Source organism: Homo sapiens, chromosome 6 (genome assembly GCF_000001405.40).
Source record: "Homo sapiens chromosome 6, GRCh38.p14 Primary Assembly".
NCBI classification, from domain to species: domain Eukaryota; kingdom Metazoa; phylum Chordata; class Mammalia; order Primates; family Hominidae; genus Homo; species Homo sapiens.
In genome coordinates, this window is record NC_000006.12 from 170422114 (window position 1) to 170434113 (window position 12000).

The 12000-nt window shown below is 42.5% G+C and overlaps 1 annotated feature.

Annotated features, from left to right (window-relative positions):
* Positions 11354–11853: an enhancer, noted in NCBI's record as "H3K4me1 hESC enhancer chr6:170742555-170743054 (GRCh37/hg19 assembly coordinates)". NCBI's record gives its function as "activates a minimal SCP1, AML or CMV promoter by ChIP-STARR-seq in naive H9 embryonic stem cells {active_cell/tissue: H9 hESC(naive)}" and the evidence as "EXISTENCE:reporter gene assay evidence [ECO:0000049][PMID:30033119]".

Sequence of the window (12000 nt, forward strand, 5' to 3'; positions counted from 1 at the left end):
GTGCCTCTGCCACTCAGAGTGCGTGCCAGGCCCAACCAGCCGTGGCCCTCGGTTCCCTGGGGTGACAGGAAGGGAGAGAAAAGCACATCAGGTAGGCAGGAGCAGGGGAGAAGGCAGCTCCACGTGAACTGTAATGAGACAAAGAGGGCAGGAATCTCGTTTTAAAAGTCACAGAAACAAATGAATTTTAACCTTTTTCTCACAAGATAACCCTCCTGCAACATTTCCTTTTCTTCGTTTTCTTTGCTTTCATGGTTATGCTGGGTTGGAACATGCCCTGGCTACAAATCATAGTAGGCCTTTGATAGACTTTAAAAATGGCCAAATGAAATACAGAGAATATAAAGGATTCAGAAGTAATTAATTCAAAACTACAACCTACTTTGAAACATTTATGCAGAGAAATTCGTTGTTACAAAAGAGGGTCAGGGCCGGGCGCGGTGGCTCACGCCTGTAATCCCAGCACTTTGGGAGGCCGAGGCGGGCACATCACGAGGTCGGGAGATCGAAACCATCCTGGCTAACACGGTGAAACCCCGTCTCTACTAAAAAATACAAAAAAAAAAATTAGCTGGTCGTGGTGGCGGGATCCTGTAGTCCCAGCTACTTGGGAGGCTGAGGCAGGAGAATGGCGTGAACCCGGGAGGCGGAGCTTGCAGTGAGCCGAGATCGCGCCACCGCACTCCAGCCTGGGCGACAGAGCGAGACTCCGTCTCAAAAAATAAAATAAAATAAAAGAGGGTCGGTGCATTCACGATCTGACCCTTTAATCCCATTGCTGTTTTCTGCACCGTTGGTCTATCCCCTTCTTTTTTTTTTTTGGAACACTCACACGCAATCACCCGGCTGAAAGATGGTTAGAAAAAGAAATTATGAAGAGCCTGGAAAATCCACAAACCAGACAGTCAGCCCCTGAGGCGTGGAGACGCCTTCCCTTCCTGGGTTTCTGGCGCGGGCGCAGACCCTTCCCCAGCCTGGAGGGCGCTGCCGGTGTCAGAAGCGGAGGTTTCGGAGGCGGCTGCAGCCTCGGAATAGCCGGTCACAGCCACTGCGCTGCTGTCGGTGAAAGGCAGCCCGGGACCTGAGGCCAAACGCAAGCTCAGGCCGCAGCTACCAAGGGAACCTGCCTAAGCGGGCGGCACAGAAGGGAGCGCCGGGGACGCTCTGGTTTTCAGATCCCCTTTCGGAAGGTGAGATTGTTTTTCATAACAGGCAAAGGAAGATAAGCCCCGCGCCCGGCGAAACCCTGGCCCTCCCTCGCTGCTGCCTCTGGCCCTGTGTGCAGCTGAACGCAGCTCTTATTTAAATCATGTTGAGGAATTAATACTGGTGCACTGACAGGTTTTTTCTAATACAAAGTTTAATAACCGCTTAAAACAAGCCAATAAAGAAGAATGAGATGTTTTTAAAATCAAGAATTTGACCTGGCTCAGTATCTCACACCTATAATCCCAGCACTTTGGGACACTGAGGTGGGGGGATCACTTGAGGCCAGGAGTTCGAGACCAGCCTGGCCAACATGGCAAAACCCAGTCTCTACTAAAAATACAAAAATTAGCCGAGCATGGTGGCGGGCGCCTGTAATCCCAGCTACTCCGGAGGCTGAGGCAGGAGAGTCGCTTGAACTCAGGAGGAGGACGGAGGCTGCAGTGAGCCGAAATGAATCCACTGTACACCAGCCTGGGTGACAAAGTGAGACTCTGTCTCTAAAAAATAACAAATAAATAAAATCAAGAATTTACTAAGCATAACGTAGTTTAATGTTATCCTCATCCCTTTGAGATGTGTTACAAAAACATGTCTGATGGGAGCTCGAGAGCCACGAGTCCCTTGTCCTGTTTTCAGTGAGTGTTTTCTCCACACCCCTCCCCGGCCCGGGAGCACAAACAGGCCTGGCCTTGACCTAAAGTCTCTCTGTTTTTTTTCCTACTGCACTCAGGCCCCCAATGGCTGCTCTTCTCTTCCTCTTTTGCCTACTAGCTGGAACAGGAATTTAAATCCAAGAAGCCTACCTCCTGCACAGGACACAGGTGGATGTGAGGGAATGGTCTGGGTGGAGCTGCCCTGGCTGAATGTCTGCAGCTGTGCCAGCTGCCTAGGCACGTGAGGAGGGCGGCCAGGCTGCCTCACAATCTCTGGCTGGTCGTCAGTGGGCTGGATGGGTGCAATGGCGGTGTGAGGACACAGGACAGTGGAGGCCGTAATCCACGTCCCCTGAGCAACCTTTCACGCAGCCACTCTACACTCCCGTGTACCAGAGAGCTCTGCCCCACCCAGAGCAGGACCTGTGTCCTGAGAAACCACCCAGCAGCTGTGGCTTCTCCCAAAGGCCTCCGTCCCAAGCCGCCGGTTGTGTGGTTGCATGGCTGCTGTGGTGGCATTCTTAAGGCCTGAGGAAATATGCGTTGAAATGCACACAGGCCTGGGCTGGGGGAGCCCAGGAAAGTGCTCCAGCTCCTGCATATTCCTGGATGAGTTTCGCCCCCCCGTGGTTCCTGGCTGCTCCAGTTCAGCATCCTCTTGTGCCCAGCTGGCTTAGAGTTAGCCTAGAAAAACACAGTTGAGGAAGTAAATCTTCCACTGAGTAAGGGTATACATTCCAAAGTCAAATAAAGGGTGATGGATTAGAAGCTGTCCCCTCCAGTGTGGCTGCCTCCCAGAAATCACACATTCTGAACCATGGAGGTGTCGAGCACAGACCGCACCTCCACCCGCAGGTTGCCCTCTTCAGACACCAGCTCAGGCTAGAGGGCAGGCAGCGACAATGTACCTGGCCCCTGAGCACTTAGACCTACCGGCTCAGGTCTGTACTGCCCTGCTTGGCACAGATTCCCCAAGGGCAGGGTTCTGTCCTGTGCACGGCTGAGTCTCCGCTGCCTTGTGGAGCTTCTGGCACATTCTTAGTCATTTGAAAAGCTATTGAATGAAGGAGCCCATGAGGTATGTGGATTCACCTTGGAAGGAGCAGGAGCTGTGGGTCACCACAGATGGCCATTCTAAGACTGCCCTTGCCTGGAAGCACAGAACAACTCAGTGGGCAGTGTCCCCAGGCACACAGGGACCCCCCGCCCCCAGCCCAGATGCTCCCAAACATCTAGAAACACGGTGATCCCAGCTGCTCTGTGTTTCAACAGGAAGGATAGAGGCTCATGAGAGCCGGGTCTGTGTCTCAGCAGGAAGGACAGAGGCTCATGAGAGCTGGGTCTGTGTTTCAGCAGGAAGGACAGAGGCCCATGAGAGCCGGGGTCATGGGGGAAGCTGGGGCAAGGAATCCACAAGGGGTGTGTCAGCTCCTCAGGGAGACGTGGTTCTGTTTTTCTTTTCATGTGGTTTCATGGAAAATACCTTGATGAAAACTATCAGCAAAAGTCAAAGAACTTTTTACAGGAAAGAAAATAAATGCACCAACTCATCTACCTGCATATCAGACGTGATCCCATCAAACGAGGAGGGCCACAACAAACAGAAACCCCCCATAAAGAATGTCTACTTTCCATAAGTGAATAAAGTCACAAAACATATCACCTGATGATCGCCATTTTCATTTCAACGTCATCCTTCATTAAGTTGTCTACACAAGTTTTATTCCGTTCTCTTAACCTGAAGCTTGCTTTTAAAAACAAAATCCACGAACCCATCGCACATGCTAAGCAGTTACACTCCTGGATGGCCAGGAGCTTGTTCAGGTGTTTATTCACTCATTCATGGTTTTTGGAGCAATTACTGTGCCCAGTGCTGGGGCAACAAAGGCAAGAGACAGTTCTCACCTTCAAGTTGCTCCCAGGCTGGCTCTGCTACCCAAGAGCTACAAACAGAGATCTTCCTGAACTCGCCTTTTGGCCTCAGGATGATGTGGTATAGAAAAAATTCATTAGCAAACAGTCACCTAGAAATTTAGAGCTGTAACATTTGTTAAGGAACACACAGAAAAAGAGCACACATTGATGCTTTGAAACAAAATAAAAACTCATTGCATTATATTTGGTCTTAAGGTGTGAATTATGTGCAAGGACATCTGCTCCGTCAGTATTTCTTGAGTATCTAACGAAGGCAGGACACTTCATTCACTCCACATCTAAATTCATAACAGTGTTGACTTCATTGTTACTGAAAATACTGGAAAGAAACGAAAAACTATCAGATAAAAGTGTTCTCAGTTCTGAGCAGCAAAGAGACTATTAAATAATTAACATTTAGAACATTGATGGAAAATATTTGGTGTTTTCTCCCTTTTCCAAGTTAATCTAAAACAAGCCATAGTAAATGCCTCAAAACATGTTTCCTATGCCCTCCATGGAAGAGAAGCTGCAACTTGAACAGGTCCTCAGGGCCTCCTGTCACACTAGCCCCCTGCCTGCAGCATCAATTTCAGGAGTGGGGAGAGAGCCATGATGTCCATCCACATTGTTGTCCAAATGTCCAGAGTGAGTGCAACTGGGGTTGGGGTAATAGGCTGTCAACAGAAATAAACAGAGGGAGGCTCTAAGAGAAAATGACATTGATTTGGGAAATAGGACATTGCAATGAGAATACACGTGCCATTGTAGATTATGTGCACATTCAGGGAAGCAAAGAAGACAAAGGTTTTTAAGGGAAGAGTGAGGAGGAACCCAGGATTGTTTTGAGATAAGTATCCTTGGCTACAAAGATGAATAACAAGGGAGATTGCAGTTCAGTGCTGGACAGGCACTTGCTGGACAGATGTAGAAGAATTTTTTGTGTAAGGTTGCAATGGCGTTTGTGCAGGGTCATGATTTTTTTCAGTCTTTTGTGATTGTTCTTGTGCAGTGGCGCATGACCACCCTCCCTTTATGGTCTTTCCCAGCTCTATTTGTCAGAGCATTTCTTAACACAAGTGACTCCATTTTGATTTTGAATCTGACAACTTCCACATTTTCCGCTTTTGATCAAGGTCTTTCTCCAAAAGTATCACAAATCAATCCCGCCGTAGTGAGGTCTGATGTCCCCTGATGCCAAGATGGACCTGTCCTGGGCTGCTGGTCTGGTTCCACACTAGGGGTAGTGATTGGTGAGTAGGAGTCATTGTCAAAACCCTTTAGCCACATTTGAGCAACAAGGGAGGTTTGAAGGGAGTGGCTGTCAGGCTAAGTCTACCTGGAGTCTAGTATTACATTCAATTTTGTCTTTTTCCATAGTCTTCTGTTATCATCTCAAAGTGCTGGGCCAGCATTATTCTGTTAGGAGTTGTACTTCTACAAAAATTTAACAAGTAACAAATACAAAGTTTTAAAAGGGGAGATTCAAAGTAAAATTATTAGTAATGTGACTATCCTAGTCTGCATAATGGTTTTGAGCCATGAACCTTAAAGGCAGCCAACTGGATAAATCAATTGACCATGATCCCGTCAAGTGAAATAGGTGAGCTTTAAGAGGGTTAAAAGTCTTATTATGATACAGAGTTCTGTTCTAATGTCGGAAAAATCTGTCTACAGCATGGAACCATCCACTTCTCAGCCTGGTTTGCAGTTTGAATGTCTCTGGTTGTGGTACTGGGTGTTCCTCAAACATCAGACATATGACTTGTTCCTTAAAATTTATATAATTTCAGCTTACAGGGCTTCAGGAAGAGAGCAGTATTCAATTTTAGTAACTCTGGAAGAAAGTTGGATTGGAGGAATTAGGATAATTCAAGTCTAGTCTGTAGGTAGATAACAAGAGCTGGAAAACAATGCATAGAGCTACAATCTAATAAGAGGTGTATTACAGCTTTTCTTCAGAAACATTTTCTCCCTACATTTGTCGCACAGGATTCTCAGATTTAAAAACTTCTGGGGGCTAGGAAGCCAAACCAAAGCAGACTTTAGATTTTACTTATAGTCTTAAAGTTCCTGGGCCTGCCGGGAAGTGACCATTTTTACCTACTCACTGTAAATCCAGGAACCCTTGAAACCAGGCACTCTGTGCACATTCACGAGTATGACATAAGCAGTGTTTTAAATTATGTTCTGTTGTAAAGAGAGAGCTGATTTTTATTGAACTTAGCAAATCACTTTATTGCCATAAAAATACTCATGAATGATTTTCAAATTTTGGAGAAATCAGGAAGGGAGAAAAAAAACAAATGCTTCCATTACAAAAGTATGCTTTGCCAAATTGCTGTAAATTACAGATAGTTTAAGAGAGAAAATGTCATTACAGCTGGAAAGCAAGACATTTAAGTAAAGAACTAATAATGTTTTAAATAAAAATAACAAAAACATTATCAATTATTTAATCTCATGTGATTAATCTTTGTTCTGCTTGACCTGGAGCAGTTTCATGAGCCCACCAGTTTCTTCATTAGAGTTTTTTAAATATTGTATTTATTCCATTGATGTTAAAGTTATAAGAATCTATATGTAAGAGCACTTGTTGAAATCTTTTCCATGAGTCTGATTGCAGATGCTTTTAGGGGAGAATGTAAAACAATAACTGTAGATGACACTTAGAATAGCCATGGTTAAAACTCTGATGGAAGTTTATTATAATCAGTAAGTAACAAGGAAATAGAGTTATTTTTATAGCACATGACATAATATCCAGAATTAGGACTGATGACATATTAGAGTTCTATGAATTTATATAATTTTTGAAACATTCACATCCATAACATTCCCATAAATGTAACTGAATGATCTAGTGTCACTTATCATTTCACGATGCTTTCCATATAATTTATCGAATAAGCCTAATTATTTAATATCTCTACAAGATGAGAGATAACATTGTGTGAGGCTCTCCAGGGGCCCAACTAGAAAATTTCAAAGTTAATTCTAGACCAAAAAGACTTAATTTAGAATTTCAATCCTGGGGAAGCCTGCCAAGGATACAAAAAGGTTCAAAACACTCGACCAAAACAGAACCACAGGTCACAGTGAAATAACTTCATTTAACCAGAATAAAGTCATTTAACCAGAGTAGTAATCAAAAGACTTCAAAGCAATACAGAAAAGTACATGGATGTTAAAACCTTAACCCTTTTCAAGCTGTTTTCCTAAGTAACCAAAAACGTAATAGAGACAACACAGGAAATTGTCTTGGTAAAAGGTAAATCCACTGGGCTTTTTAAAGGGCCAGTTACCAAGAAGGTGGAGAAACCCTCCTGCACTGCGATTGCTCTTCCTTCTGGGAAGCCCATTTAGATATCTTGGAAATTGAATCTGATGAAAGGTACTTGAATTTAATTAAACACAGAAAAAAAAAATGTGTGTCCAAACTTATGAATGTGTCCCATATTGTAAAGGAGTATAAATAAGAAAACCAGTACCTTCAGCAAGTCAGAGTGCACGGCTCTTAGTGTCAGTATATGAGATTTCCTGGTTACATGGAACAATTCAGACTCATCAAGGAAAGCCAAGAGTACAGACTCAAGTTATACGGGGGAAAGCATTGCTTTTCCAGGCCTCCAAGGTAAACATTTCTGCTTCAGGCCCTCACAACAGAATTAGAGCTGGAGAAAAACTTTACAGGAGCTGATGAAGTTGGAGAGAGTTGTCATCCCAGGCCTCCTCGCGGGGAGGAAAGGAAGAGCAGAGGTTGATGATGCCTGGCCGGCAAGTCACGTGCAGTGAGATCCAGCAAAAGAGCCTGTGAGATACGAACCTGAGAGGCTTCAAGAGGAAAACGCTGCCTTGAGAAATGAAACTACTGTTCTGAATGAAAAAAGCAGGTCTAATCTGAAACTAGGGAAACAATGGAGACTGTAAAACAGAAAAGAGAGAAGCTGCTGTTAAGACCAGATCAAAATTTCAAAAAAACCTTGTTCTAACATAGAGTACCAAGTTTTTAGTTTTGTATTAGTGTATTTTTAATATTGAAGCTCAATCTTCAGAAAGACTTATAAATAATTTCCTTCTAATTATAGCCAACTTAATTCCTTTTATAAATTCATCCTTCACAAACCTCATCACAACTTATTCCAACGTTTGACAACATACTTAGAATTTCTGCTTTGTCCCCTATTTACTGTTTCTTAAATAACCAGCTGTTTTAAGACAAAAATTTCTACTCAAGATTTTTTCTTACATAAAATTATTCTTTTCTTTTTAATAGCCTTCCTCACCAAGAATGCATCTTCAAACCCATAACATTCCTCGTATCTCTCTCTCCTACTTACTGTCTTGCCTCTGTTTCCTACTTTCTGTCTTGCCTCTGTTTCCTTCCTAAATCCATATTTGGAAACAACCTTTAAATAACCTGGCAATTAGACAGAATTATTCTTTCTCTCAATAAAGAACCCATTTTATGCCTTTATCATTTTTCTAATCAAAAACATTTTCCTTTTTTGTATATTTTATATGCAGAATTATATATATATTAATTAGAATTTTAACTCTTAGTAACCTTAATTTCTGGCAAGCAATTTTGAACTATTTGTCACATATTGGTATTTTATAGATGAGAACAATTTTATAATTCTTAAAAATATGTTTCTCCATACAACATAATATTTTATGTATATTAATAAACCCAAATATATTTAGTCTTTCTATAAAATGTAAGAAGACAAGAACAAATGTATATTTATGTTTAGCAATTGATGTTTCAGGTTTTTAAATCTTATTTAGAAATGACCTAGACATTTAATGAATATCTGTTGTTTAACTTAACATAATATGAAGATTTCAAATTACAAGAAAAGCTTATTTATAAGCATTTATTCCATTTACATTTACCTAGTTTGTTTTTAACAATTTACCTAGATTAGTTATGAAAACTGAGATACTAGACAAAGCTTGTCATCATTTCAAGTTATTTCCTGTTAACCATTTTTATAGCCTGTGAATATCAGGCATTCATCTAAGTAAGAACCTTAAAGTTAAATATATGGGTATTTTGTCAATAACCTTGAAGATACAGCTGTCTTATTAAACCACAATATTAAATTAGTCTTATTTATCAAAGAATTGCACAAAGATCACTCTGTTTCAGGCTAGCAGAGACAAATATAAAACTATTGCACCAGTCAACCCAGGCAAAAATGTGTACTCACAATTTTGAAGATATTACTAGTTTTATTTTACCAATGATTTTTAAACCAGCTTATTTATCAAAGATCTACTTAGGTCACATGAAATAGAAGACATTTAGGTTAATAGCTGTGTACTTTATATGAGCACTTGTTTAAGCAAATCTGAATAGAATTTCTTAGGGATTTCTGGCCCACTATGCCAGACTACCACGTAGATACAACGTACAACATAATACATGTACATGTGCATAAACACACCTAAAGGTATATACATACACAAAGCTCTTATAGCTTTCATTTTAGAATTTTAGTCATGAGACAGTAAAATATACAAACTCACTAGTTTATAAAATATAGTTGGCTCCAAATTACATTTCTGACAAAATGGGAACTGTTCACATGGCAAAAACTATTTGCCCTGATAGTCTAATGAAAGCTGTGGACCAAAATGTTGGGTTAAGCAGTTTGGTTTTAAAAGACATTTTTGTTTGTTTGTTCCAAATGAGTTTAATGTTAAATTTTTAATGTTTATGTTTTAGCTTGAACTGGCTGAATTATACAAGAAAAAAAAATCCAAGTAGCCTTGCATTAGTAAAAAATCTGTCTTGTGTTTGCAGTCTGGTTCCCTTGCACCTGACTGGTCAATGCAGGTGGGGAAACATTTTAGCAGGTTTTGGGGGGCTTTTTTCCCTTGGCTCCTGCATGACAGAAAAAGCAATGTTTATGCCAGAGATATAAAAAATTATATTACTGCTCTGAGCTCAAGATTTTGACCTGTTTGATCTCAGATCCTAATTTTTATAAACATTTATCTAGGTCTTTCCTTTTAGACTATCAGTCTTTCAATTAACTGTTCCATCACCCTAAGCAACTGTTAGGCAAATCTAAATTTACATTTTCAAAAAGTGTCTATGTTGTTGGCTACCATGGAGCTGTTATAATTTGTAAAACCAGTAATTTGAAAGCCCTTTAAGACTTTTTTAAAAGAACCTTGGCTGGAATATCATAAGCAGTGAGTTTTATCTCAATACCAGCAGAAGGGTCAGCAGATTGGACATAAGCAGAAAAAAAATAGAGGACTTAGAATGCTAACTCTATAGTTGTAGATTTGTTTTAGAAAGTTCAGATAATGACCACTCAGCTCTGAATTTTCCTTGGTGTAATTTGCCCATCAGTTTAAAAATGTAATGAGAACGGGCCATAATACAGCCAGCTGGAGTCCCAGAATACCTGGCACATCCTCATGTTTGAGAATCCCATTCCGTTTCTTATTAATCTCTTGAGAGCAAAGAAAATCCTATAAATCCTCTCAAGAGAATGTTGGGAGTCTGGACCAGCATTTTAGAGAGACTGTCGGGAGTCTGGACCAGCGTTTTAGAGAGACTGTCGGGAGTCTGGACCAGCGTTTTAGAGAGACTGTCGGGAGTCTGGACCAGCGTTTTAGAGAGACTGTCGGGAGTCTGGACCAGCGTTTTAGATAGTGGCAACCACTCTAGTGGCTTTTAATGAGCCATCCTGGGTCCAGCATTTAGAATGCTTGTTTTTGCTCTTAGAAGATTTCCAGAAATAAGCAAGAGAAAAGAGCCACATCAAACAAAATATTAAATTAGGTGCACAGAAAGAATCAAAAGCAAATTCACTAGAAAAGACATGCCTCAGAGACGGAATGGAGATTCTGCACTTTATACCAGAAAGGACTTGCTGGAAAAGACAAAAGGTCTTTTATCACCCCAGCAGGGATGTAAGGTCCGTTATTAAAGGTGGCCTTATCACCAAAACAAACTCCTATGAAATCAAAAAGACTACCAAAAAGCAGTGAGGCTCTGCCTGAGAGAAGACTCACCAGGGTAGAAAAGCAAGTGGCAGATGCAGAGAGCTCAGAGGGCTCAAGTGAGAACTACACACCAGCTCTAAGAATCACCAGTTCCTTCCAATCACAATCTTTCTTCAGGTTCTGTTCTAGACACCACTTATGTAAACCTAAACCACAAACAGAGACAGGCTCTCTAACAGAAACTGATATTTATTTGGAAGTAGGCATTGCAATGGGAATACATGTGCCATAGTAAACTATGTGCATATATATGCAACAATGGGGAGCCAGTTAATAAGTTACTATCCGTGCCGAGGGGACAACAGCAGGATAAAATAATTCACAGTGGCTCGGGCCAGGTGTGCGGAGGCACTGGCCGCGTGGGATATCCAGGCCTTCTCTCCACTCACTCAGCACTCAGTCTTCTCAGACACTCGCAAACTGCAGAGGAATTAGCCCTCCAAGGCCCCGTGAGGCTGATTGCTGTTGACAGGTGAAAGCCTCTTCCCTCCCTGTCCCACTCACTGAGCAGCAGGAAGGCTCTGACAAGGAGCCGGCAAAGGGAAGAGAAGAGGCACCGGGGTGTGGTCCCAGTACCTTGCTACTTGCTGTCCATGGTGTCATCCCCATTGTCTTTGCCACTGGTCGCCAAGCTCTGCCTGCCTCAACGCTACACACAGCTCAGAGCATGGAGCATGGCAAGCTCATGGGGCAGCCGGTGGGGCACATGGGGCAAGTGGTGGGCCCTGGTGCTGTCCCCACCAGACTGGGGACTGCAAAGGGACCCTGCAAGTGTGATTAAATTGAGGATCGGATGGTCCTGAGTTATCCAGCTGGGCCCTGATGCATCTCAAGGGTTCTCATAACAGGGAGGCAGGAGGGCCAGACAGAAACAGAGGTTGGAGTGATGCAGCCATGAGCCAAGGAAGGCCGGCTGCCTCTAGAAGCTGGAAAAGACAGGAACAGTTCTCCTCTGGACACTCCAGAAGGAACCAGCCCTGCCGACACCTTGATTTTAGCCCAGTGAGACCCATTTTGGACTCCTGACCTCCTGAACTGTATGGTAATAAACTTGTGTTGCTTTAAGCCACGAGGTATGTAGTAATGTATTACAGCAGCCATAGCAAAAATACTGTCCAATAGGGTCCAGAAATCACAGGTGGCTGCAGAGACCAGACAAGTGGCCCCTCTGCAGGTAAATAAGGCACCTCTCTGC